Here is a 27,978-nt window from a genome sequence, read left to right as displayed (position 1 = left end):
GTGGCTCAGAGTTCTGTAGGCTTTACAGGAAGCATGGCACTGGCATTTGCTTCTGGTGAGGCCTCAATAAGCTTACAATCACAGTGGAAGGTGATGGAGAGCCAGCATGTCACATGGCAAGAGTGGGGGAAGTTTTTTTTTTGAGATGGAGTTTTGCTCTTGTTGCCCAGGCTGGAGTGCAGTGGTGTGATCTCGGCTCATCTTGCAATCTTCACCTTTCGGGTTCCAGCAATTCTCCTGCTTGAGCCTCCCGAGTAACTGGGATTACAGGCATGCACCACCATGTATTTTGTATTTTTAGTACAGACGGGGTTTCACCATGTTGGCCAGGCTGGTCTTGAATTCCTGACCACAGGTGATACACCTGCCTTGGCCTCCCAAAGTTCTGGGGTTACAGGTGTGAGCCACCACACCTGGCAGGTTCCAGACTCTTTTAAACAACCAGATCTTGTGTAAACTGAGTGAGAACTCATTTATCATTAAGGAAATGGTGCTAAAGCTTTCATGAGGGATCTATCCCATTGATCCAATTACCTCCCACCAGGCCCCACCTCTAACTTTGGGAATCACGTTTCAACATGAGATTTGGAGGGGACAAACATCCAAAACCATCACTTAGAACTACAGTCTTATTATTTTTTTAAATGGATGGTAATCTTAATGTGGATGTGACTATCATAGCTTTTCTTATTCAGTATGTTGTATTTGGTGAGATCTAAAAAGTATATCTATTTATAATTATTTTTACAAGCAATGAGAAAAAGATACTGGGAAAGAGGCTCATACATGCTTGTCAATTAAATTGGAAAGACAGCTTGGTGCTTTTAATGTCAGTATCAATCAGTTACTATTCTGAAGATCTTGGACAATTTACTTATTCTTTTCTGAATTTTAGCTTACTCACCTGAAAAACAGTATTAATTATGCCTGAGAGCAATTTGCAAAGCATTTGTGGCAAACCATAGATGGCTGCAACAATATCCTCCATCCCATATGCTCTTTTCCCATGTGATGGTGACACCCTGTTCCTTTGAAAGGTGGGGTCTACATTCCCTTCCTTTGAGCCTGGGTGGGTTTGGGACTATGGTGGTAATGAGACTACAGGACTTTTTTGGCTAGGTCATGAAAGGAGATACTGAGAAAGAATAGAAAAATAAACAGTTTTTTTTTTCTAAAAACTGGCCTGGCACTTATAGCTGAGCCATGTTATTATTATTATTATTATTTTTGAGACGGAGTCTCGTTCTATCACCCAGGCTGGAGTGCAGTGGCGCAATCTTGGCTCACTGCAACCTCTGCCCCCTGGGTTCAAGCAATTCTCCTGCCTCAGCCTCCCCAGCAGCTACCATGCCCGGCTTTTTGTATTTTTAGTAGAGATGGGGTTTTGCTATGTTGGCCAGGCTGGTCTCGAACTCCTGACCTCAGGTGATCCGCCCGCCTCGCCCTTTGAAAGTGCTGGGATTACAGGCATGAGCCATCATGACCAGCCTTCATATTATTCTTTTATAGGACATAATCTAACAGAATATCATTCTCAGACGAGATTATCCTGAGACCATGATAAAACAAAGCAAGGCTAGCTCATAATCTTCTCTAAGCACAAAAACAATGTCATTGTGCCACCGGTATAATACCAACTCTGGGCTTTTTGCCAAAATAAGTGACGCTAGTTCTTTACCAGTTACAGTTTTTCCTTCACCCAAGTCTGCCCTCCATATAGATGTCTTGAGATACCAATAAGAATTGCATCCAAACAGCCTCCAATCTAGAGTGAACTCCTGCTTCCTTAGACCCTCCTTCGAATCACTCAAACAAGCTAATATCCTATATATATTTAGTTATTTAGTTCTTTCTAACTCTCTGTTACTGAGACTCTATGGTTCCCCCAACACATGAATTCTCTCTCACAGCAAGGAGTAGTAAGTTCAACTTGTTCAACTACACATACATTCACAGTGGCCTTGGTTGGAGGATATTGACAATAAGCTCTTGCTTTTTTCTCTTAGGGCACTTGCTAGGGGTAAGAACCAGCTGCCAGCTGCCACGTAAGCGGACCAATTATCCTGAAGTCACCTAGCTATCTATGAGGAAGCCCAAATTAGCAAATTAGGCCACAAAGAGAGACCACATGGAAAGCCCCTGAAACTAAATGGAGAGAGAGAGAGAGAGAGAGAGAGAGAGAGAGAGAGAGAGAGAGAGAGAGATGCTGGTCAGGCGCTCCATGCTCCAGCCCAAACCTCCCACTCTACCCCTCGCCTTCTCAGTTCAGCTACCTTCTGACTGCAACCACAAGAGAGATCTCGAGCCAGAACCGCCTGGCCCACACCTTCCTAAATTCCTGACCCACAGAAACCGCAAAGGATAATAAAATGATTGCTGTTTGAAGCCTCTATGATTTGGGGTGATTTGATTCATATAATAGAAAATCTAAATTATCTGGCACACAGTAGGCACTCAATAAGTGGTAGCTGTTATTTTGTAATTGTAAGAAGTAAAGTTATTATGTGCAAAACAAATCCTCAACACCTAACTTATTTTTCCAGTAAATTTCCATTGACATAAACTTGTGGATCGGTGCCCACAGATCCACTCAATGTATTTTAATTCTGATACCAAAATAAGGTAGACTGATCAATACTCCTCAGCAGGGATGAGCTCATTTTGGAGCAATGCTAGAGCAGTACTACTATTGCCACTTTTTGAGGAGGATTTGTGTTTAAGAAATACATATAATTTTGTCCATAACTTTAGAATCCATGTCAGTGGTTAATTATATTTCCTGGCCCCAGTGTCTCCTGGGGGTGACATGTTGAGCCTAATATGTTTTGTTTGTTTGTTTGTTTGAGACGGAGTTTTGCTCTTGTTGCCCAGGCTGGAGTGCAATGGCACACTCTCGGCTCACTGCAACCTCTGTCTCCTGGGTTCAAGGAATTCTCCTGCCTCAGCTACTGCCCAAGTAGCTGGAATTAGAGTCATGTGCCACCATGCCAGGCTACTTTTTTTGTATTTAGTAGAGATGGGGTTTCACCATGTTGGTGGGGCTAGTCTTGAACTCCTGACCTCAGGTGATCCACCTGCCTTGGCCTCTCAAAGTGCTGGGATTACAGGCATGAGCCACTGCGCCCAGCTGAGCTTAATATGTTTTAAATTAAGATTAATGTGACCTATTGAAAAATGTCTTAATTGTACATTTTTTAAATTGCAAAGGCAGTATATGCTCATAGCAAGAGCACAAAATGAAGATATATATGGCAATCTCTCACCCCCTTATTCATTCCCCGCCCCATCCCCAACCACTCACATGATTTAACCATTATCAATAACCTGTTATGTATTCTTCCAAATCCTTTTTCTTGCTTATATAATAAACACAGCAAATATAAATATATGTCTATCAATGTATTAATATATGTATATATAAAGATATTTAGTTGGTAGCTTTTATTAAAATGTAACTGTATTATACAGTTACCCTAAAAATTTGCTTTTTTCACTTGACAGTGTACCCTGATTTCTATAAATTAGTGTATACACATCTGCATTTGTTTCCTATGGCCGCTGTAATAAATCACCAATTTAGTGGCTTAAAACAACGTAGATTTATTCTCTTACAGTTCTGGAGGTCAGAAGTCTGAAATCAGTTTTACTGGCCGGTTGTCAAGCCTAAAGGTGTCAGGGCTACTTTCTTCTGGAGCCTCTGAGCTTCTGGTGGCTGCATGTATTCCTTGGCTTGTGTTAGCCTTTCTCTGTCTTCAAAGCGCATCACTTCAACCTCTGCTTACATTATATCACTTTCTTTTCTTTCTGTTTCCCTCCTTTTTTTGGTGGTGGTGGTGGTGGGGACACAGTCTTGCTATGTCACCCAGGCTGGAGTGCAATGGCACGATCTCAACTCACTGCAACCTCTGCCTCCCGCGTTCAAGTGATTCTCCTGCCTCAGCCTCCTGAGTAAAGCGCATCACTTCAACCTCTGCTTACATTATATCACTTTCTTTTCTTTCTGTTTCCCTCCTTTTTTTGGTGGTGGTGGTGGTGGGGACACAGTCTTGCTATGTCACCCAGGCTGGAGTGCAATGGCACGATCTCAACTCACTGCAACCTCTGCCTCCTGCATTCAAGTGATTCTCCTGCCTCAGCCTCCTGAGTAGCTGGGATTACAGGCGTGCACCACCATGCCTGGATAATTTTTGTATTTTTAGTAGAGATGGGGGTTTCGCCATGGTGGCAAAACTGGTCTCGAACTCCTGACCTCGTGATCCACCCGCTTCAGCCTTCCAAAGTGCTGGGATTACAGGTGTGAGCCTCCATGCCTGGCCTCTGTTTCCCTCCTATGACACTGTGATTACATTATGGCCCACAGGATAATCTCTCCATCTCACGGTGTGTAACTTAATCACATCTGCAAAGTCCATTTTGCCACTCAAGGCAACATTCACAGGTTCTAGGGATTAGGACCTGGATATTTTGGGGGACATTATTCAGCTTGCTACAATGTCTAAATTCATCTTTTAATTTCATGTATTTATACAAAGGCATACATTTGACATAACAGGGACTCTATTGGCGGGCGTGGTGGCTCACACCTGTAATCCTGGCACTTTGGGAGGCCGAGGCAGGTGAATCACGAGGTCAGGAGATCGAGACCAACCTGGCCAACATGGTGAACTCCTGTCTCTACTAAAAATACAAGAATTAGCCGGGCATGGGCACATGCCTGTAGTCCCATCTACTTGGGGGGCTGAGGCAGGAGAATTGCTTGAACCAGGGAGTTGGAGGTTGCAGTGAGCTGAGATCGCACCACTGTATTCCAGCCTGACAAAGAGAGACTCCGTCTGAAAAAAAAAATAAAAGCGGGGGGACTCTATTATACGTGCCGGAGTTTTTTTTTGGGGGGTGTGTGTGTGTGTCTGTGTGTGTGTTTTAAAAGACTGTCTCACTATGTAGCCCCAGGCTGGTCTGAAACTCCTGAGCTCAAACAATCCTCCTGCCTCAGCCTCCTGAAGTGTTGGGATTACAGGTGTGAGCTACTGTGCCTGGCCCCCCACCCTCTTTTAAAGTTACTGGTGTTGACGTGTATCTTCTATTTTTCTTCATACTCACATAATCAAACATAGTAGTCCTCCCTTATGTTTCAAGACCCCCGGTGGGTGTCTGAAACTGCAGAGAGTATTTAGCCCTATACAGTATATACTTTTTTCCTACACATACCTATAATAAAATTTAATTTATAAAATTGGCACAGTAAGAAATTAACAACTCATAATAAAATAGAACAATTATAACAATATACTGTAATAAAAGTTATGTGAATGTGGTCTCTCTCTCAAAATATCTTACTATACTCTAGTCACCTATTTTCAGAGGGTAATTGGCTGTGGTAACTAAAACCGTGGAAATCAAAACCTCAGGTAAGGAGGTGACTACTGTATATATTGCAAATAAAAAATCAAATTTGGTTAAGGAGAGACTTTATTTGTAGGGATTATTGCAAATGGGGATGGGTGGGGACTGTGGGGAAGGGTTCCTGCAGTAGGAGGGGGCCTATTCCCTACTGGTGGGAAGTGGAATGAAAAGGTGGCTCTCCACTGGATAATAGATTAGAGAATGTTTCACCCTGAGGCCAACTTCTCAGGAGGGGCTATTAAGGAGGGGTTACCTGCGGCTCAGGGTCAGGGTGGGTGAAAGTTCAGAGGTATGAGGGAGGAAGAGAAATTCAACCAAAATCTTTGATTAAAAAAAAAAAGGTGGGAGGCTTCTTTTCTTTTCTCTTTCTTTCTTTCTCTCTTTCTCTCTTTCTTTCTTTTTTTTTTGAGACAGTCTTACTCTGTTGCCCAGGCTGAAGTGCAGTGGCACGATTTTGGCTCACTGCAACCTCTGCCTCCCGGGTTCAAGTGGTTCTCCTGCCTTAGCCTCCCAAGTAGCTGGGATTACAGGCACACACCAAAACGCCGGGCTAATTTTTGTAGTTTTAGTAGAGACGGGATTTCGCCATGTTGGTCAGGCTGGTCTCGAACTCCTGACCTCAGGAGTAATCCGCCCGCTTCGGTCTCCCAAAGCACTGGGATTACAGGCGTCAGCCACCGCGCCCGGCCTAGGAAGGTTTCTTAATTGTCATTACTTTCCAGGAGCACAGGGCTCAGGTAGAATTCAACGTTGTCAATATGCAGGGTTAAATGAGTTGTTTACTTTACAAAAGTGACATCTTAAATGTGCTTCTAATGTCCTCTTGTTTCATAATATGCTTGTATTATAATACTTAATTAGTCTCTACGGATGACCACGTTCTTAGTTTCAAAGGTTTTTTTGAGGTTCCTGCAGCTGCTAAACTTGGGGTTCCTGAAGTAATATTTCATTTTCGAAAGCTGTTTTTTTTCTTAGACTCCTCTTACAGAATTGCCAGCTCGTCTGCACAGCCTGTCTATTTGAACCTACGTTTATTTTGACCCACCCCAACCCCCAAAGCAGGTGGCCAGGAAAAAATAAAAGGTCCCAACACCTTTTCTTTTGTTTTCTGGATCTCCTCCTTTCCGGAAGCAGGGGGTCAGTGACAGGAACTTTTCGACCCCAGCTTAGTGTCTCTTAATCCCTCTTTAGCCCGTGGAAGCCTCGGAAGGCGTGGCCAGGGCAGGGCATCCAAGCCGAGCGCCGGGGGTTGGCACCGTCTCTCTCCCTGGCACGGCGGAGACAACTGAATACTGAAAGACAAAACCAACACACCGCGAGGAATGAGCCACGCCTCCATCCACGCCACAAAGGCACGTTTCCAAGATCTTTTTAGGATCTTACCCATGTTTTGCAGGGAAAAGCGACACAGACCTGAAGCGCCTTCAGGTTTTTTTTTTTTTTTTTTTTTTTTTTAAGACGACGTCTCCCTCTGTTGCCCAGGCTGGAGTGCAAAGGCGCGATCTTGGCTCACAACCGCCGCCTCCTGGGTTCAAGCGATTCTCCTGCCTCAGCCTCTCGAGTAGCTGGGACTACAGGCACCCGTCACCACGCCCGGCTAATTTTTGTATTTTTAGTAGAGACGGGGTTTCACCATATTTCCCAGTCTGGTCTCGAACTCCTGACCTCAGGTGATCCACCCGTCTCGGCCTCCCAAAGCGTTGGGATTACAGGTGTGAGCCAACGCGCCCTGCCAGCCTTCAGTTATTTTAATGAAGCGATTTTGTACAAATCAGCCAGAGGGAGGGAGAGTGGGAGGGAAGAGGAGGGGTCAGCCAGTCCTTCCAGTTAGGAGAGTCCCGGCTCACTCACTGCTTCTAACTCACTGCTCACTCACCGCTTCTTAGCTTAGGAATCACCTACAATAACCTCGTGTCACTGTATCTTGTGATTTCAAACAAGGAACCCTAAAAACCTGAAGGCACACTGGGTGCCGCTCAACAATAAGGCTCGGCTGCCAAGACGAAAAAAAAATTGCCCTTTCTCCTCCTGCCACCCTGGAGGTGCCAGGTTGTAATCTGCAAATGTATTGTCTGGCCCTTAGGGCTTGACAGTTAATGATTGGTCGCTGAAGGAGCCGAGCGGAGGAGCGAGAGGGACGCGAGCAAGCGAGCGAGGGAGGGAGCGCAGGGCCAGAGCGGAGCCCCAGCCGGCCGCACAGGCACCGCCTCCCGTCTTCCGGGACCCGGCACTTCGGGGGTTTTGGGCGCCGGAGACGCGCAAGGGCGCCGATGGAGGCAGACTCGCCAGCGGGCCCCGGCGCCCCAGAGCCCCTCGCGGAGGGAGCGGCGGCCGAGTTCTCCAGCCTGCTGCGCAGGATAAAAGGCAAACTCTTCACCTGGTGAGTGGAAGGGGCGTGCTGCAGCTCCGCTGGGGCGTGGGGGCGGCTGCGGGCCCTGCGCGCACGTGGACAAGGAGCACACTCTCTGAGGCCCCCAGCAGGGAGGCAGAGGTGGCGGCCGCACGGACTTCGGTTCGGGGCTCAACACGCACACCAGGTATGGTGCGCTTCACCTGGCGTCGGGAAGCACTTGGTGCGTCTCCCTCGGCTCCCGTTTCGAAATCGTGGCGATGTATTTTGGAGGATTTGGGGGGAAACCCACCCTGTGGCACTATTAGGTCGGTCCTCTGGGGCGTTCCGCGGTGGAGGGACGAGGTCCCCGGGGATGCTGTGAAGGAGGAGTGCCCACCTCGGGCTGGGCAGGTGGGTGAGCGCCACTTCCTGGCGCCGGCGCCCTCATTCCATCTGCTGCCGAGCCAGCCAGACTGGGCGCGGTGATTCAAGAGTTGACCGAAGTGAGAAATCCTGGTTAAGTTTTGTGCTGCTGCCGGGTGGGAGACCAGAGCCGGCTCTCTCTTCCTGGGCCTGAGCGAGGTGATATAGCCACCCCCAGGGCTGGGGTCCAGGGAAGCCTGTTTGTGGTATCACTATGCTCTGTGCGAAGTAGGGACAAATGTTTTTAAGGAGTGGGCAGCGACTCTAGAAAGCGTTTCTGTGGTTGCTGGAGGACTTGCACTCTGGAAATGAGAGAACCCAGGACCTAAATAGTGAAAGACATTTATTGGGCACTCGCTCTGTGTCAGGTACTGTGCATAACAATTTATATGGATAATATCAGCTAATCCTCACCACTTTAGGAGATGGTACTATTGTTATATCCACTTTGCCGCTGGAGAAACAAAGAAGGCTAAGCAATTTGCCCAAGGCCACAAGATGATCTTTAAGGGGTGATGCGTTCAAGCCGTAGTCTAAACAGCGTTGGCCACTGACAACTCATGAAACAGATATTTGATTTTTTTTTCATATTAACAAAGCGAATTTCCCTTTAACGATTGTGAAAGATAGTCCTGAAAAGCCATACCATTTTAAAAACGAGATCGATAAAGGTGTAAGCATTTTTTATCATATAAATAGTTTGAAATTGATGCATGTGTTTAAAGGGGAAAGTTGGCCGAAAACCACCTTGTAGCATCCAGTTGTGTATGTCCTGATACATTTGTTAAAAGTTCTCAGCTGGGAGGCAATTCAGTGTAATGGCTAAGGGCACTCACATTCTGGACTCAAATCCTGGCTGGGTGACCTTGGACAAGTCAGTTCTCTGTGCTCCAGTTCCCTCCCTTCCCTCCCTCTCTCCCTCTCTCCTTCCTTCCTTCCCTCTCTCTCCTTCCTTCCTTCCTTCCCTCTCTCCTTCCTTCGTTCCCTCTCTCCTTCCTTCCGTCCTTCCTTCCACAAGTCAGTTATCTGTACTCCAGTTCCCTCCCTCCCTCCCTCCCTCCTTCTTTGTTCCTTCCTTCCGTCCGTGTCCGTCCGTCTTGGACAAGTCACTTAACTTCTCTGTGCTCCAGTCTCCCTCCCTCCCTTCCTTCCTCCCTTCCTTCCTCCCTTCCTTCTGCTGGGTGACCTTGGACAAATCAGTTCTCTGTGCTCCAGTTCCCTCCCTCCGCCCCTCCCTTCCTTCCTGCCTTCCTTCCTTCCTGGACAAGTCACTTCTCTGTGCTTCAGTCTCCCTCCCTCCCTTCCTTCTTGGACAAGTCACTTAACTTCTCTGTGCTCCAGTCTCCTTCCCTCTTTTCCCTCCCTCCCTCCCTCCCTTCCTTCCTTCCCTCCCTCCCTTCCTTCCTTCCTGCCTTCCTTCCTTCCTTCCTGGACAAGTCACTTCTCTGTGCTCCGGTCTCCCTCTCTCCCTCCCTCCCTCCCTTCTTGGACAAGTCACTTAACTTCTCTGTGCTCCAGTCTCCCTCCCTCTTTTCTCTCCCTCCCTCCCTCCCTCCTGACGGAGTCTCATTCTGTCACCTTCCTTCCTGACAGAGTCTCATTCTGTCACCCAGGCCTGAGTGCAGAGGCTCTATCTCAGCTAACTGCAACCTCAACCTTTCGGGTTCAAGCGATTATCCTGCCTCAGCCTCCGAAGTAGCTGGGATTACAGATGTATACCACCACGCCAGGCTAATTTTTTCATGCTTTTAGTAGAGATGGGGTTTCCCCATGTTGACCAGGCTGGTCTTGAACTCCTGACCTCAAGTGATGCACCCACCTCCGCCTCCCAAAGTAGTGGGATTACAGGCGTGAGCCACCGCGCCCAGCCTGTGCTCCAGTTTTCTTATTTGTAAAATGGAGATAATAACAGTACCTACCTTGTAGTGCTGTTACAAGGTTACTATGCAGGAAAGGGCAGACAGAGCCTGGCTCCTTTCAGTGCTCTATATGGGTTAGTTGTCACCATTAGCTCTCTATTCTTGGGTGATGGGAACATTTGGTGATTGCTTCAGGAGATGCCAGTGGCCTTGAGGCTGGGGCAGATGATATGGCAAGATGTATGTTTAACAAGATGTGATAAGAATTAACAATGATTTTCTTTTCTTTTCTTCTTCTTCTTTTTTTTTTTTTTTTTTGAGACAGAGTTTTGCTCTTGTTGCCCAGGCTGGAGTGCAGCGGCACGATCATGGCTCACTGCAACCTCTGCCTCCCGGGTTCAAGTGATTCTCCTGCCTCAGCCTCCTGAGTAGCTAGGATTACAGGCGCCTGCCACCATGCCCGGCTAATTTTTAATACAGACAGGATTTCACCATGTTGGCCAGGCTGGTCTTGAGCTCCTGACCTCAGGTGATCCATCTACCTCAGCCTCCAAAAGTGCTGGGATTATAAGCGTAAGCCACCGTGCCTGGCCTGATTTTTTTTTTTCTCTCCTAATGTTCTGATACTTTTGGAATCCGGGTATGTTTTATAATCAGTCTAGTAGCCTCCTAAATATGAGATTTCTTTTGTCTATGAATGTCCTTTTTATGTATCTCTTTGAGGGCTTTTTCCTTTCTTGTGGAATAGCAGTTATGGGCATTTTTTTTTTTTAGACAGAGTTTCACTGTTGTTGCCCAGGCTGGAGTTCAATGGCGCGATCTCGGCTCACCGCAACCTCCGCCTCCCGGGTTCAAGCTCTTCTTCTACCTCAGCCTGCCAAGTAGCTGGGATTACAGGCATGCACCACCACACCTGGCTAATTTTGTATTTTTTGTAGAGATGGGGCTTCTCCATGTTGGTCAGGCTGTTCTCGAACTCCCAACCTCAGGTGATCCGCCCGCCTCGGCCTCCCAAAGTGCTGGGATTACAGGTGTGAGCCACACGCCTGGCCATGGACGAAGTTCTTTAACAGCAAAAATGGTGTCTTTTTCTTTTTTATATCTACCACAACCCTTAGCACATGAATGAATGAATGAGTGAATGACTGAGGGATGACAAAGGTTCACAAGTCTTCCTTTCCATTCTGCCTCCCTCCCTGAACTCTTCCCTTTATTGGTCTTTATTCCAAGGGTCTTGGGCTGAGCTTCTTGTTTGGTTGGCTGGGCTCTTTTGTTAATTAAAGTTTCCATTCCTACCTCTGGCAGCCATCCAAGCACTTGGATTTTGGATTGCAGTTTCTCTTTATCAGACCCAGCAATCAGAAAAGAGTGGTTTACCAGATATCCAGTACTCCTAATACTCAATATTTTAAGCTTTGTTGTCAAAACTCATGTCCCAAGTTTGAGTAGCTTTGTGAATCCCCACCTGTGGCCAGGGAACCAAGGGTGGGAGAGTGTAGAAAGAGGTTGGTGAATGGATATGATGTGTTATCACCATATGGGCAAGATACAGAGAGAGATTTATAACCACATAGCTCATTTCTATTCCTTTTACCAAAAAGGGGCAAGAAGAGGCTTTTTGGGCAACTGGGTACTAAATACAGGGAGAAGATTGGGGCATAGAGCTTGTTATGTTTTCATTATGAGGAGGATATGTTCTAAGTGACCCCAGCTCTTAATATACCTGCCCCCATAGGGTACAGACAACTTTTCTCTATGATTAGGAATATCAGATCACTCATTCAATAAAAGTTTATTGAACACTTACCATGTGCCAGACATTCATGATAATGAGAACCATATATTCCTTAGTGGAGTGTGTAATTTTGGCTTTTGTGATTTATTACTGTCAACTCAAGTGAAAAATATTGTGATAGAAGACCATAGACTTCCAGGAGTATCTGAGAATACTTCTTATTTAATTGTTTATTATTATTATTATCATCATTTTTTGAGACAGGCTCTCACTCTGTTGGCCAGGCTGGAGTGCAGTGGCTGATCATGGCTTACTGCAGCCTCGACCTCCGTGGCTCAAGTGATCCTCCCACCTCAGCCTCCTGAGTGGCTGGGACTATGGCATGCACTGCCACGCACTACTAGTTTTTTTTTTTTTTCCGTAGAGACAGGGTTTCACCATGTTGCCCAGGCTGGTCTCAAACTCTTTGGCTCAAGTGATCCACCTGCCTTGGCTTTCCAAAATGTTGGGATTACAAGAGTGGCCCACTGCACCTGGTATTATTATTTAATTGTATACTGTCAGACAGTTTACATTCTGACACATAGATCCTAATTTATTCATATGTATGTTTTTAATTTTTAATTTTAGTTTTTGTAGGGACAAAATCTTGCTTTGTCACTCAGGCTGATCTTGAACTCCTGGGCTCAAGCAATCCTCCCATCTTGGCCTCCTAAAATTTGGGATCACAGGCATGAGTCACTGCACCAGGCCTATTCATATATTTTAAAAACGCGTATTCCTTGTAACAACCATCAACTTTATATCTCTAGCAAAAACCTTTAATTATTATTTTATATATTTATCTTTTTCCCATCAAATAGATAAATAAGCTTTTCAAGGGCATGAGTTTTATCATGTTCCTTTTGTAGCAGAGTGCTGGACATGGTTTATTCATTGATTCTTTCTTTTTTTTTTTTTTTTTTTTTTGAGACGGAGTCTCGCTCTGTCGCCCAGGCTGGAGTGCAGTGGCGCGATCTCGGCTCACTGCAAGCTCCGCCTCCCGGGTTCACGCCATTCTCCTGCCTCAGCCTCCCGAGTAGCTGGGACTACAGGCGCCCACCACCACGCCCGGCTAATTTTTTTTGTATTTTTAGTAGAGGCGGGGTTTCACTGTGTTAGCCAGGATGGTCTCGATCTCCTGACCTCATGATCCTCCCGCCTCTGCCTCCCAAAGTGCTGGGATTACAGGCGTGAGCCACCGCGCCCGGCCTCATTGATTCTTTCATTCACCAAGCCTTGGACATCTGTAATGTTCTAGGCTTCAGACTTGTCTCTTTGGCCATAACGAATAGGACTAAGTTCCTGCTCTAGTGAAAGCTCATCATCAAATTATGATAAAAAGTTATGATAAGTGCTATAAAGATAAGTGCAAGGTTCAGCAATGGCACAAAAAAGGGCAGAGACCAAGTCTACCAGGGTGAGATAGGGTTAGGGAGCTTGAGAGGGAAGGTGATCGTGATTATGAAGCCTGAATGAGTTTTCCAGGTGGCCTAGGTGAGGAAGGGTAGTCTAGGCTTGAAAGTGCCAGAAAGTGTTTTGCTTAAGGAACTTCAAGTAGCTTGGTGTGAAGGGGGCATGGGCTGGAGGAGGGAAGGATAATAGGTGGTCAGTCTACACCCACATTACTTTGTTTTTTTGAGATGGAGCCCTAGGCTGGAGTGCAGTGTCATGATCTCCTGAGTTCAAGCGAGTCTCCTGTCTCAGCCTCCTGAGTAGCTGGGATTATCAGCATGGGCCACCACGCCTGGCTAAATTTTTTTTTTTTTTTTTTTGAGATGGAGTCTTGTTCTGTTGCCCAGGCTGGAGTGCAGTGGTGCAATCTCAGCTCACTGTAGCCTCCGCCTCCTGGGTTCAAGTGATTCTCCTGCCTCAGCCTCCCTAGTAGTAGCTGGGATTACAGGCGCATGCCACCATGCCTGGCTAATTTTTGTATTTTTTGTAGAGACAGGGTTTTGCCATGTTGGCTAGGCTGGTCTTGAACTCCTGACCTCAGGTGACCTGCTCATCTCGGCCCCCTCCAAAGTGCTGGGATTACAGGCATGAGCCACTGCGCCCAGCCAGTTTAATTTTGTATTTTGTATTTTTTTTTTTTTTTTGAGGTGGAGTCTCGCACTGTTGCTCCAGCTGGAATGCAGTAGCACAATCTCAGCTGACTGCAACCTCTGCCTCCCAGGTTCAAGTGATTCTCCTGCCTCAGCCTCCCGAGTAGCTGGGACTACAGGTGCCTGTCACCACACCCAGCTAATTTTTTGTATTTTTAGTAGAGACGGGGTTTCACCATGTTGGCCAGGCTGATCTCAAACTCCTCACCTCGTGATTCGCCTGCCTCGGCCTCCCAAAGTGTTGGGATTACAGGCGTGAGCCACTGTGCCCAGCCAATATTGTGTTTTTAGCAGAGATGAGGTTTCACCATGTTGGCTGAGCTGGTCTTGAACTCCTGGCCTCAAGTGATCCACCTCCCTTGGCCTCCCAAAGTGCTGGGATTACAGGCCTGAGCCACCACGCCTGGCCAACACCCACACTCCTTGTTATTGTCTAGCAACAGGTCTGGGATACACCTGTGCTTTCTCCTTTCATTTTGGTTTCCGCCTTCCACAGGGTAAAGTCCTAGACATTTTTGAAGGAGTCATTTAGTTGTGCTTAACTGTGCAGACTTTATCCAATCAACAGACATCTATTGAGCTCTCACTGTGTATGCAGCATAAATCCCAAGCTGGTATGTATCCCTGCTGAAGGGTATTGTTTATAGTGTTATTTAAACAAAGATGTAAAGTTAGGGATCTTTTGTGGCTTGTGCAGTTCCCTGGGGAATTGGGGAACTCTGGATTCTACGAGTCTCCATAAATTCTTCTCCCTTCCCCCTTTTTACTATGAAATTATTTACTATCTGCCCATTCTACTAGACTCCAGGAGTCAGGAATCATATCTAGTTATGGCCATTGTATATTCTGATTGTTACATTACTGACCTTGCAATAGATTCACAAAAAATATGGGATGCATGGCTGAGAATGAATCCTTAATTCCAATAGGCATTGTATAAAGGATTACATCCCTTTTTTTTAGAAAAAATTTCCACTCTGCATTATATGTTTGTGACCCAGTCATGTTGTTTTTTTCATCTAGTGTGTTTCTCAACCTCAGCCTTTTTTTTTTTTAATTTATTTTTATTTTTATTTTTTTTGAGACGGAGTTTCTCTCTTGTCACCCAGGCTGGAGTGGAATGGCGCAATCTCCAGTCACTGCAACCTCCGTCTCCGGGGTTCAAGCCATTCTCTAGCCTCAGCCTCCCAAGTAGCTGGGATTATAGGCGCCTGCCACCATGCCTGGCTAATTTTTGTATTTTTAGTAAAGACAGGGTTTCTTTCTTTCTTTTTTTTTTTTTGAGACAGCATCTCACTCTGTTGCCCCGGCTAGAGTACAGTGGTGCGATCTCAGCTCACTGCAACCTCCGCCTCCCGGGTTCAAGAGATTCTCCTGCTTCAGCCTCCTGAGTAGCTGGGACTACAGGCACGTGCCACCACTCCCGGCTAATTTTTGTATTTATAGTAGAGATGGGGTTTCACCATATTGGCCAGGCTGGTCTCGAACTCCTGACCTTGTGATCCGCCCACCTTAGCCTCCCAAAGTGCTGGGATTACAGGCGTGAGCCACCGCGCCCAGCTAAAGACAGGGTTTCACCATGTTGGCCAGGCTAGTCGCGAATTCCCAACCTCAGGTGATCCACCCATCTCAACCTCCCAAAGTGCTGGGATTACAGGTGTGAGACACTGTGCCCAATCAACCTCAGCCTTCTTGACATTTTGAGTTGACTAATTCTTTTTTTTTTTTTTGGAGACGGAGTCTCATTCCAGGCTGGAGTGCAGTGGCATGATTTTGGGTCACTGCAGCCTCCCCCTCTTGGTTCAAACGAATCTCTTGCCTCAGCCTCCCGAGTAGCTGGGATTACAGGCACCTGCCACCACGTTCGGCTAATTTTTGTATCTTTAGTAGAGATGGGATTTCACCATGTTGGCCAGGCTGGTCTCGAACTCCTGGCCTCAAGTGATCCACCTGCCTCGGCCTCCCAATGTGCTGGGCTTATAGAAGTGAGCCACCGTGCCCGGCCTTGAGTTGACTATTTGTTGGGGCTGTTCTGTAAGATGTAGATACCTGGCCCCACCCAATAAATGCCAGTATAGCACCCTCACCCCCACTCCCAGTTGTGATATTCAAAAGTGTCTCCAGACATTGCCAAATGTCTTCTCGGGGACAAAAATCATCCCTAATTGAGAACCACTGATTTAGTCTATTGTTTTTACCTGCTACAGAGTATTCTGTGGTTCCGTGGTCCATCCACCAGTGTTAGACAACCAGACAGCTTCCAACTCCCAGCCTCCACAAACATCACTGTGATGACCACTCTCATACATGTCCCCTATGTGCTGAAGAACGAGATGATAGCCAGGCTTGGGTCTGAGTCCCTCTAGGTAGAGGGGAGGGGATGCACCCCAGGATGGAGCAATCTTGGGCACTACAGAATCACCCTTGATTTCTGTTGTTCAGTGACTGTCCATTAAGCTATTCCTATCAGCTGCTCTGAAAGAAGGAGGAGGCAGTCTCTCTAGGTTACAGCCCATTAGCCCAAGGAGCTTGGAGAGGGTAGGTGAGGAATGATTGCTGGCTGGACAGCCTGAACCTGTTTTATTAATTTCTCAACACTGGAGGGAGTTGTTAAAGGGGCAGACATGTACTGTAGGGAGAGGTAAGACTGGAATTGAAAAGCTTTTCTCCAGCATGCCCTCCACTGGGCCTCTGGTTCCTCTTTCTGCCCCAGGCTGTAGTCTCCTTCTTCCCCTAGACCAGTTCTAGACAACCTTTGGGTTATTCCTTCTTTTGTTTGCTTCTTTCTTCTGGTTGACTTGAAGGAAGTCAGTGCTTATTCCCTGTCTTGACAGCGCTTCCAGAATAGTCCTAGAGTCCACCTCCCCCTTCAATCCCTATTGTCTTTTTTTTTTTTTTTTTTTCCCAAAACGGAGTCTTGCTCTGTCGCCCAGGCTGGAGTGCAGTGGCGCAATCTCAGCTCACTGCAACTTTCGCCTCCCAGGTTCAAGCGATTCTCCTGCCTCAGCCTCCTGAGTAGCTGGAATTACAGGTGCCTGCCACCAAGCCTGGCTAGTTTTTGCATTTTTAGTAGAGACGGGGTTTCACCATGTTGGCCAGGCTGGTCTCAAACTCCTGACTTCAGGTGATCTGCCCACCTCGGCCTCCCAAAGTGCTGGGATTACAGACGTGAGCCACCGCACCTGGCCTCAATCCCTATTGTGACTAATTCAGTTCAAGCCTTTATCATCTCTCACTTAGACTGTTGTAATAGCTTCCATCCATGCCTCCATCTATCCCCGACCCCAATCATCTCGCTACACAGAAGTCAGAGTGATGCCTAATAAAACGAAAGAGTATTAATGGCTGTCATCAAATGAGAATTCGCTGTGTATCAGGCACCCTACTTATATTTCATCAATCCTCATGACAATCCTACAAAAATAGGTTTTTTATTCTGTTTTGACAGACAGAGCAGGTAAGTAACTTACCCAGGACACTTGGCTGGTGAGAGGCAGAGCTGAGATAGTTTCATTTGTTTCTAAAATCCAGAGCTGCTTTACTCTTTCAAAAATCTCATGTGATATGACTAGTTTACTCAAAAAAATTAAAAGAAAAAAAGAAAGAAATCTCACTGCATTATGCTCAGGCTGAAAACCTTTTGGGATTCTTCCCATCACCTACCCTAGTGGTTTGCAAACCGGAGGAGCTCTTGGGGTTCCCTGGAGGTTCCTTAGGGTTCACCATGGGAAACAAGTAGGGGATAGGAGCTGGTGGGCTTCTGGGCTGGCCTCTGGCACCCACCAGGGTGTGCTGCTATTGATCGTTTTATAGTTGGGCTTTTATGCCAGATTAATAACAATAATACTGTACACTGGATAACTTCCAAGCCAAAGACACTTATTTCTCACAGTCTGGAGGCTGGGAGGTCTGAGACCAAGGTGCCTGCAGGTTTGGTGTCCTTTGGTTCATAGTCAGCTGTTTTCTTTCTGTGTCCTCACATGGTAAAAAGGATTTGGGAGCTCCCTGGAGTCCCTTTTGTAAGGACACTAATCCCATTTATGTAGACTCCACCTTCATGACCTTATCATCTCCCAGAGGCCCCACCTCCAAATAGTATCACATTAGGGATTAAATTTCAACATATGAATTTTGAGGAGACAAATATTAAGTCTATACCAATGCTGTGTGAAGAAAGGGCTCTGCAGCTAAAACAAATCTGAAAGCCACTGTTTATTGGTTAGAGCTCAAACTGCTGCCCCTCCTCCTCTCCTCACCCTTCTCTCCTTTTTCTTCTTCCTCTTTACCTGAACATAATACTTTTTTTAAGTTTTCTTTTTTATTGTGGTAAAATATGCATAACATAAAATGTACCATTTTAGCCATTTTTATGTGTATCATTCAGGGGGATTAAGTACATTTGTAATACTGTGCAATCATCACCATATCTGTTTCCAGAACTTGTTTATTATCCCAAACTCTGCACATTTCAAATAATAACTCTGCACTCCCCCTCCCCAGCCCCTGGCCACTACAGTTCTACTTTCTGTCTCTATGAATTTGACTTCTCTAGATACTTCATATAAATGGAATCATTTGGCACTTGTCATTTTGTGAGAGTTCAGTCTTCTCGACATGAGGTAGGAGGCTTTCCATCACTGGCCCACTTCCCTCTCCAGGCTCACCTCCCAGAATGTCCCTCTCTCACTTGGCACTTGGTTCAGAGACACTGATCTGCTGGTGATTCCCTTGTGCACACCATACCTGCGCCTTTGCACCTGTAGTTCCCTCCTGGGATTGCTTTCACTGTTAGCACCAACTTAGGAAATCTTCTTCCCTGTTTCCTCTGTCCCTCCTGACACACATTTTCAGTTGGGTGCCCCTCTGTGTACCTGTTCCTACCTCATCATTGCACTTCTCATATTGTAATGTTAAGTATAATTATCACTTGCCTGGGAGAGTGCCTTTTTAAGGACAGAGATGATAATTCATCTTTGAAGTTCCTGCAGTACTTTATGCCTGGCACAGATCTGAAATGGTAGCAATTCCTCCCATGATATGTATGAGTTAAGACTGAAATAAAAATTAGGCTATTTCTGAATAGCTTTCAGAGATTATTTCTGAAGGTAGCCACATTTGTGGAAGAAGTGAATTGCCTCCCCAGGAAATTGCTTGTGTAGGCAAGTTTTGGTACCTTTATGAAAAAGCTGTAGTAGACTGCGTGAGGTTGCTCATGGGTGTGATCCCAGCACTTTGGAACACCAAGACAGGAAACTTTCTGGAGCTCAGGAGTTCAAGACCAGCCTGGGCAACAAAGCGAGACTCCTGTCTCTACAAAAAAATAAAAAATAGAATATTAGCCATGTGCAGTGGTGTAGGCCTATAATCCTAGCTACTTGGAAGGCTGAAGCAGGAGGATCACTTGAGATTGTGAGTCCAGTATTTCAAAGGCACTCCACTGCACTCTAGCCTGGGCGACAGGGTAAGTCCCTATCTGTAAAAGAAAAGCTATGAAAACCTATGCCATTATTTACTGAAGATCATCAGAGAGAACAAATCATTTCACACAGGTTAATTTTCCAGATAATTTAAAACTCATTCTTTTAAGCATTAAAATTCACTTTTTTTTTTTTTTTGAGACAGAGTCTCGCTCTGACACTCAGGCTGGAGTGCAGTGGCATGATCTTGGCTCACTGCAGCCTCCGCCTCCCGGGTTCAAGCGATTCTCCTGCCTCAGCCTCCTGAGTAGCTGGGATTACAGGCGCCCGCCACCATGCCAGCTAAGTTTTGTATTTTTGTAGAGAGAGGGTTTGACCGTGTTGGCCAGGCTGGCCTTGAACTCCTGACCTCAAGTGATCCACCCACCTTGGCCTCCCAAAGTGCTGGGATTACATGCTTGAGCCACTGCTCCCAGCCTAAAATTCACTTTTAAATCTAGTTGAATGACACTATTTATGTAATGGATTGTTAACTTCTGCTAATTCATTTATTTATAATTTTGGCAGCAATTCTTTGAGGATTAATTGGTTTGTACTGAACAACTGTCTTAGGGTAGGCCAAGCCATTTAGTTACTTATTGGGTCCATTTGCAACTAATCCTGGAGATTTTGCCAAGAAAAAAAAAATTACTTAAAAATTTTCATGGCATATTTAAGACAAATATATGAGACTACTCTTTTGATAAACAGTACCTTTATCGTGGTATCATGTTTTCTTCATGATTCAGGATCATCATCATTCACTTTTTTCTGCTGAGAGGCAACAATACGTTCATGGGCGTTGATATGGATTATTTGTCTGATTTTTTTCAGCCTTTTTTCTCCCAGGTTGTCACATGTGATTTTTTTTTTTCTGTTACCAATCATATCTCTGGAACCCTGTGTTCTTTCTAAATTATGATTTCTACTGTATTAACACCGTAGAAACCAGATAACTCAGTTTCTTAGAATTGCTTGTAGTCAAAGTATAAATAGACCCCAAATAAAGATTTGAATGGTTTTCATTTTTATAAATTATAAAAGCTTTGAATCCAGAGATTTTGAGCTGTTTATTTTGGATAATGACAGGAGCCTATGTTATTTATTTATTTATTTATTTATTTATTTATTTATTTATGACAGAATCTCAGTCTGTCGCCCAGGCTGGAGTGCAACGGCGCGATCTTGGCACACTGCAACCTCTGCCTCCTGGGTTCAAGCAATTCTCCTGGCTCAGCCTCCTGAGTAGCGTGGATTACAGGTGCACACCACCACGCCCAGCTAATTTTTGTATTTTTAGTAGAGATGGGGTTTTACCATGTTGGCCAGGCTGGTCTTGAACTCCTGACCTGAAGTGATCCGCCTGTCTTAGCCTCCCAAAGTGCTGGGATTACAGGCATGAGCCACCGTGCCCAGCCAGAGCCTATGTTATTGAAAGCCATCCAACAAGTGATGTGTCACAAAAACTTGGTTATTTATGTTAATGATACACAGAGAGATTCCATGAAAAACCACAGGTAAATCCAAAACTTCTTTCTAGTCATTTCTTTTTCCTTTCTTGTTTTTTGGAGATGGGGTCTCACTTTGTCACCCAGGCTGGAGTGCAGTGGCACAAACATGGCTCCCTGCAGCTTCGACTTCCTAGGCTCAAGCAATCCTCCAGCCTCAGCCTCCCGAGTAGCTGGGTTTTGCCATGTTGCCCGGGCTGGTCTTGAACTCCTGGGCTCAGATGATCTGCCCGCCTTGGCCTCCCAAAGTGCTGGGATTACAAGTGTGAACCTTCTAGTCATTTCTTAAAAATGTAAGGGTACTTAAGGAAAAAACAGATTCTGTTTATTCAGTCTAACACAGCCTTACTAAGGAGGATGGTGTTGTGCTGCATGGGTGCAGTAGATCTTCCCAGAGAATTGTGGGGATATTCCTACTCCAGAAGTGTTTAGGATATACTTGGGGGAAGAGCATTTCCTAAGCTTTTCACTGTGATATGAAGCAAGAAATAAAAATAATAATAACATTTGTTGAGTAAGGCTTACTTTGTGCACTGAGCAACCACACTATTCTGGGATCTCAGGGTGAATTAACTCATGTAATTCTTTTTTTTTTTTTTTTTCTTGAGATGGAGTCTCGCTCTGTTGCCCAGGCTGGAGTGCCGTGACGTGATCTCGGCTCACTGCAAGCTCTGCCTCCCGGGTTCACGCCATTCTCCTGCCTTAGCCTCCCGAGTAGCTGGGACTACAGGTGCCCGCCACCACGCCTGGCTAATTTTTTTTGTATTTTTAGTAGAGATGGGGTTTCACCATGTTAGCCAGGATGGTCTCGATCTCCTGACCTTGTGATCCGCCCGCTTTGGCCTCCCAAAGTGCTGGGATTACAGGCGTGAGCCACCGCGCCCGGCCTGTGTAATTCTTACAATAACTTTATTTATTTATTTATTTATTTATTTATTTATTTATTTATTTATTTATTGGAGAAGGAGTCTGACTCTGTCACCCAGGCTGGAGTGCAGTGGGGCGATCTCAGTTCACTGCAACTTCCGCCTCCCGGGTTCAAGCGATTCTGCTTCCGCCTCCTGAGTAGCTGGGATTACAGGTGCATGCCACCAGGCCCGGCTAATTTTTGTATTTTTAGTAGAGAGATTTCACCATGTTGGCCAGGCTGATCTCAAACTCCTGACCTTAGGTGATCCGTCTGCCTCGGCCTCCCAAAGTGCTGGGATTATAGGCGGGAGCCACCGTGGCTGGCCCTTATAATAACTTTCTGCGGCAGGTATTATAATACTATAATGGCTAGTGCCATTTCACAGATGTGAAAGTTGGAGCACGGAGAGGTGAGGTAATTTTGCCTAACAGTGTTAGTCACACAGTAGTAAGGAATGCAACCAGGCTTCCCCCTCAGGCAGTCTGGCCCCCAGAGCCTGTGCTCTTACTCACTGTACCTTTCTGTCTTTTGCGATAGGGCAACAAACAAAAAACAGACCTTGGGCAGTCTATCCCTAGGCCTGTTCTGGATTATTTGTATCTCTAGGGATGGCAAAGAGTATATAAAGTCAGATAAATAGAATGCATCTTCTGGGAGCATTATTTATTTTTTAGACCCTAGTTGCATGGAAATGGATTAATCATAATCACTGGCCTATGACACACTCTCATTGTGGGCTCATGAATGGCTTAATTAATATACATATATATATATATATATATATATATATATATATATATATTTTTTTTTTTTTTTTTTTTTTTAAGATACAGAGTCTCACTTTGTCACCCAGGCTAGAGTGCCATGGTGTGATCATAGTTCACTGCAGCCTTGAACTCAAGTGATCCTCCTGCCTTGGCCTCCAGAGTAGCTAGGACTACAGGGGTGCATCTCTAGACCTAATTTTAAAAAAATTTTTGTAGAAATGGGGTCTTGCTATTTTGCCCAGGCTGATCTTGAACACCTGGCTCAAATGATCCTCCCACCTTGGCCTCCCAAAGTGCTGGGATTATAGGCGTGAGCCACTCTGCTCAGCCTCAATTAATTTTTTTTTTTTTTTGAGACAAAGTTTCGCTTTTGTTGCCCAGGCTGGAGTGCAATGGTGCGATCTTGGCTCACTGTAATCTCCACCTCTTGGGTTCAAGCGATTCTCCTGCCTCCGCCTCCCGAGTAGCTGGGATTAGCCCAGCTAATTTTGTAGTTTTAGTAGAGATGGGGTTTCTCCATGTTGGTCAGTCTGGTCTTGAACTCCCGACCTCAGGTGATCTGCCCACTTCGGCCTCCCAAAGTGCTGGGATTACAGGCATCAGCCACTGTGCCTGGCCAGCCTCAATTGCTTTTTTAATATAGTAAGTTCCCGTAAACGCATCACCAGTCCTAAAGCTAGAATTTACATGTACCTAGACCAAAGATAGTCACAATCTGGAATTTTCCTTTCACTCTTCCTTTGCTCTCATTTTAATATTGCTTTGTACCTCTGTATTTCTAAAAAGTATGCTTTTATTATCATGTTTGACTTTATAAAAAGGATATCATGCTCTATAATCTGGTGAGACTTATATCCCCTTATATCACGTTGATAAAATTAATTCATATTGTTGCAGGTGCTGATGCTGTATACAAACACTCACTTTGACTCTTTGTAATATTCTTTCCTGTGAATATACCACACTTTATTCATTCATGCTGTTGATGGGCATTTGGGTTTTTTCCGGGTTTTTTGCTATTGTATACAGACTTCTAGAAACAGTCTTATGCAGATCTCCTGTTGATCATGTGTAAAGGGCTTCTTTCATTCACAGACATGCACATATACATATATCTAGAAGCAGAATTGCTGGTTTATAGGGCAGGTGATTGTTAGACTTCATAAAATAATGCCAAACTGTTTTCCAAAGCAGTCGTACCAATTTCCACTCCTAAATTAGCCAGGTATGGCGGTACACACCTGTAGTCCCAGCTACTGGGCAGGCTGAGGTGGGAGGATCGCTTGAGCCCAAGAGGTGGAGGTTGCAGTGAGCTGAGATTGCGCCACTGCATTCCAGCCTGGGTGACAGAGTGAGGCGGTATTAAAAAATTTTATTTTTAATTAGAGGGGTATGGTGGCACATTTCCTGTAATCCCAGCTACTTGGGAGGCTGAGGCATGAGAACTGCTTGAACCCAGGAGGCGGAGGTTGCAGTGAGTTGACATCATGCTACTGCACTTCAGCCTGGCAACAGAGTGAGACTCTGGCTCAAAAAATAAAAAAATTAAAAATTTTTTTTCCACTTCCACCAGCTGTATATGAGAAATCCTGTAAAACAACTTCCAGTCAAGCTTTAATTTTTTTTTTTTTTTTTTTTTTTTTTTTGTGAGACGGAGTCTCACTCTGTCGCCCAGGCTGGAGTGTAGTGGCGCAATCTTGCCTCACTGCCTCCCAGTTTCAAGTGATTCTTGTGCCTCAGCCTCCTGAGTAGCTGGGGTTATAGGCACACCACCACGCCCAGCTAATTTTTGTATTTTTATTTTTATTTTTTATTTTTCTTTATTTTTCTTTTTTTTTGAGACGAAGTCTTGTTCTTTCACCTAGGCTGGAGTGCAGTGGCACGATCTCAGCTCACTGCAACCTCCACCTCCTGGGTTCACGCAATTCTCCTGCCTCAGCCTCCCGAGTAGCTGGGATTACAGGTGCACACCACCACGCCCGGCTAATCTTTTGTGTATTTTTAGTAGAAACGGGGTTTCACTATGTTGGCCAGACTGGTTTCGAACTCCTGACCTCATGATCCGCTCGCCTCGGCCTTAATTTTTGTATTTTTAGTAGAGACAGGGTTTTGCCATGTTGGCTAGGCTGGTTTTGAACTTCTGGCCTCAACTGATCCACCTGCCTCATCCTTCCAAAATGCTGGGATTACAAGTGTGAGCCACTGCGCCCGGCCAGGCTTTAAAATTTTTGATGGTCAAATGAATGTAAAATAACATCTTAATTTACATATGCCTGATCCCTAATGAAGTTGGGTCTCTGTCTATGTTTATTGGCTTTAGTGTACTTTTTTTTTTTTTTTTTTTTGAGTTGGAGTCTCTTTCGTCTAGGCTGGAGTGCAGTGGCACAGTCTCCGCTCACTGTGGCCTCCGCCTCCTGGATTCAAGCAATTATCCTGCCTCAGCCTCCTGAGGAGTTGGGATTACAGGTCTGCACCACCACACTTGGCTAATTTTTGTATTTTTAGTAGAGACAGGGTTTCACCATGTTGGTCAGGCTGGTCTTGAACCCCTGACCTCAGGTGATCCACCTGCCTTGGCCTCCCAAAGTGCTGGGATTACAGGCATGAGCTGCCACACCCGGCCGGCCTTAGTGTACTTCTGTGAAGTGCTGCTGTTCTGTGAAATACCCACCTTTTCCATATTATTTTCCTGTTAAACAGATTGCTCTATACACATTGCAACTTAACGGATTTAAAGATCCCACCTGAGACTGACAAAATTTTGGGCTTGCATCAGGTTCCCCGATAATCCTCGTTCTTGTGTGGTAGTGGAAGTTGAAAAGTTTTTGAGCCTATTCAGAGTTGTCTGGATTAAATTAGGAGAAGTTGAAGCTAGTTTAAGGGAGGCGTATGACAGTTTTTCTGGTTTGGGGCCTGTAGGGTGTTGAAAGACTAGAAGGGATGACATGACTCATAGGAAATCTCCTCGCCGCCTCCGCTTCCCTCACTGGGCCAGGTCTCCACGAGCTTTCTAGATTAGTCACAGACTCCTGTTTTCTTCAGGTGCCTGATTGGTGTGTGACGAGTGTAGTAGGTCAGTTGTTAGAGGTACTGGTGGTGTCCAGCTCACCACTGGCATAGGAAAGAAAAAAAAGAGGATTTATTACTTTACAGAATCATGGAGGGTTACGCTGCCAAACCACAGAGAGACCAGAGAAGCAGCAGGAGCCAGGAGTCCAAACCACAGCAGGATTCTGTGTAAGCCTTTGTGCATTGCGTTTGCTGTTGGCTTCATTCTTCCAGCTGCATGCCAGTTGATTATCTTCATCTGAGGATTGCATTGGACAATTTAGATCACACAAAACACAAAATGAACAAACCCCTCAAGTGTTGAAAGCGATTTTTGTTTTGATAATCCGCAATGAGGGAAATCTAGTTTTTACAATAGTTAAAGAGAATCGTCCTTCAGAACCTTCTGTTCTGCCTCAATGGGCAGGCAGTGTTAAGAATTGAACATTTTATGTGGCTTCTTGGCTGCCTGTTGAGAACAGGGTTTGTTTGTGCTCAGTCCCTGTGCCAGACTGGGATGGGCAGAGGGAGGGTTGTATGCCTGTCTCAGGGATGTACTCTCTTGCAATCCAGACTTGTGAAATGGCAGCACGTTTATTACCAACCCTAATCCTATGCTTCCTGATCCTACCTGCCTCCCACCCCAGCACCCACCTTTTCAGCCCTCCTGGAGCTCCTCTGTGTCTTTTGGAGTGTGTCCATGTTTGTGCACCTCTTAGAATTTTTCTCACAGAAGAGTTGTGGGGAGGGAGGATCCTGGAGGCAGAGGCCACATACTCCATATATTGCCCACAGTTGAATGCTGCCCTCTTTATTTTGCCCCCTTCCCCCTAATCTAGGCAATAGACTTAAGTTCCTCTGACCCATATCCAAAGAGAATAGCTGATATGAAAATGTGTTTCAGGTTGGGCACGGTGGCTTACACCTGTAATCCCAGCACTTTAGGAGGCCAAGGCAGGGGGATCACCTGAGGTGGGGAGTTTGAGACCAGCCTGACTAACATGCAGAAACCCCATATCTACTAAAAATACAAAATTAGCCAGGCGTGGTGGCGCATGCCTGTAATCCCAGCTACTTAGGAGGCTGAGGCAAGAGAATCGCTTGAACCCAGGAGGCAGAGGTTGCGATGAGCCGAGATCGCACCATTGCAATCCATCCTGGGCTACAAGAGCGAAACTCCGTCTCAAAAAGAAAATGTGTTTCACGCTTTCTCCTTTCAGCCAATGAAAGCCAGATGACAAAGAGAAGGATATCATACATGGATTTTATATTTTCCCTTATTTTTATCAGAACACCCCTTATTAAAATAATTGTAGAACATATAACCATATGGGTTTGGCTAATCAGTACCCTTTGTTAGAGAGGCAGGGTAATATGTTTTCTTTTTCTTTTTTTGAAACGGTGTCTTGCCCCATTGTTCAGGCTGGAGTGCAGTGGTGTGATCTCTGCTCACTGTAACCTCTGCCTCCTGGGTTCAAGTGATCCTCCCACCTCAGCCTCTTGAGTAGCTGGGATTACAAGCATGTGCCATGACGCCCAGCTAATTTTCATGTTTTTAGTAGAGACGGGGTTTCACCATGTTGGCCAGGCTGGTCTTGAACTCCTGACCTCAAGTGATCCCCACATCTTGGCCTCCCAAAGTGCTGGGAATACAGGAGTGAGTCACTGCGTCCAGCCAGAGCCAGGGTAATTTGTACCAATTGATCTCCCTGTATGGTATCATAATTGTCAGTATTACATATGGTATATTTTATTGTTGTCAGGGAAGTAGTGTATGGAACGGGAAAAATGTAGACTTACTAATTTTCTGATCTTGGAAAAGTTACTTCTGAACAGCTGAAACTGTTACAACTATTTTTCAACAGTATAATGGTACTAATAATCTCTATCTCACAAGAGTTTTTGTGATATTTAAGAGAAACTTATCGGCCAGGTGTGGTGGCTCATGCCTGTAATCCCAGCACTTTGGGAGGCCGAGATGGGCAGATCACCTGAGGTCAGGAGTTCGAGACCAGCTTGGGCAATATGGCGAAACCTCATCTCTACTAAAAATATGAAAATAAGCCAGGCATGGAGGTGCACGCCTGTAGTCCCAGCTACTTGGGAGGCTGAGGCAGGAGAATCGCTTGAACCCAGGAGGCAGAGGTTGCAGTGAGATGAGATAGCGCCACTGCACTCCAGCCTGGGGGACAGAGCAAGACTGTCTCAAAAAAAAAAAAAAAAAAAAAGAGGGCCGGGCAAAGTGGCTCACGCCTGTAATCCCAGCACTTTGGGAGGCCGAGATGGGCAGATCACCTGAGGTCAGGAGTTCAAGACCAGCCTGGCCAACATGGTGAAACCCCATCTCTACGAAAAATACAAAAATTAGCTGGGCGTGGTGGCGGGCGCCTGTA

At 45.6% G+C, this 27,978-nt stretch overlaps 1 protein-coding gene and 1 long non-coding RNA gene across 3 annotated transcripts in view, besides 5 other annotated features; one reads left to right on the top strand and one right to left on the bottom strand.

Moving 5' to 3' along the window:
- Positions 1–5,451: 5,451 nt before the first annotated feature.
- On the bottom strand, positions 5,452–7,211 carry LOC124902746 (uncharacterized). The gene is made up of 2 exons (XR_007062876.1): positions 6,787–7,211; positions 5,452–6,695 (listed from the first exon to the last, which is right to left on the bottom strand). It is a non-coding gene; the product is annotated as an uncharacterized LOC124902746 (long non-coding RNA).
- Positions 7,529–7,838: a silencer, noted in NCBI's record as "silent region_3873". NCBI's record gives its function as "represses an Ori minimal core promoter by ATAC-STARR-seq in GM12878 lymphoblastoid cells {active_cell/tissue: GM12878}" and the evidence as "EXISTENCE:reporter gene assay evidence [ECO:0000049][PMID:35858748]".
- Positions 7,654–27,978, top strand: part of SLC35F2 (solute carrier family 35 member F2) — a 67,797-nt gene continuing 47,472 nt past the window's right edge. The window contains exon 1 of one of the 2 annotated variants that reach the window (NM_017515.5): positions 7,654–7,783. In NM_017515.5, coding sequence (NP_059985.2) covers positions 7,674–7,783 — 110 coding nt within the window. In that variant the 5' untranslated portion in view covers positions 7,654–7,673. Of the gene's footprint in view, positions 7,784–7,861; positions 7,941–27,978 lie in introns of those variants that run through there. The other variant, XM_047427146.1, reaches the window with a different exon arrangement.
- Positions 8,059–8,128: an enhancer, noted in NCBI's record as "active region_5475". NCBI's record gives its function as "activates an Ori minimal core promoter by ATAC-STARR-seq in GM12878 lymphoblastoid cells {active_cell/tissue: GM12878}" and the evidence as "EXISTENCE:reporter gene assay evidence [ECO:0000049][PMID:35858748]".
- Positions 24,455–24,514: a silencer, noted in NCBI's record as "silent region_3872". NCBI's record gives its function as "represses an Ori minimal core promoter by ATAC-STARR-seq in GM12878 lymphoblastoid cells {active_cell/tissue: GM12878}" and the evidence as "EXISTENCE:reporter gene assay evidence [ECO:0000049][PMID:35858748]".
- Positions 25,061–26,260: an enhancer, noted in NCBI's record as "P300/CBP strongly-dependent group 1 enhancer chr11:107710907-107712106 (GRCh37/hg19 assembly coordinates)". NCBI's record gives its function as "activates an origin of replication core promoter dependent on BRD2, BRD4, P300/CBP, MED14 and CDK7 cofactors, with strong dependence on P300/CBP, by STARR-seq in HCT116 cells {active_cell/tissue: HCT116}" and the evidence as "EXISTENCE:reporter gene assay evidence [ECO:0000049][PMID:35650434]".
- Positions 25,716–25,765: an enhancer, noted in NCBI's record as "active region_5474". NCBI's record gives its function as "activates an Ori minimal core promoter by ATAC-STARR-seq in GM12878 lymphoblastoid cells {active_cell/tissue: GM12878}" and the evidence as "EXISTENCE:reporter gene assay evidence [ECO:0000049][PMID:35858748]".

This window comes from Homo sapiens, chromosome 11, assembly GCF_000001405.40.
Source record: "Homo sapiens chromosome 11, GRCh38.p14 Primary Assembly".
NCBI lineage: Eukaryota > Metazoa > Chordata > Mammalia > Primates > Hominidae > Homo > Homo sapiens.
The sequence above is the reverse complement of the archived record's forward strand: the minus strand, read 5'-3'. Positions and strand labels throughout refer to the sequence as shown.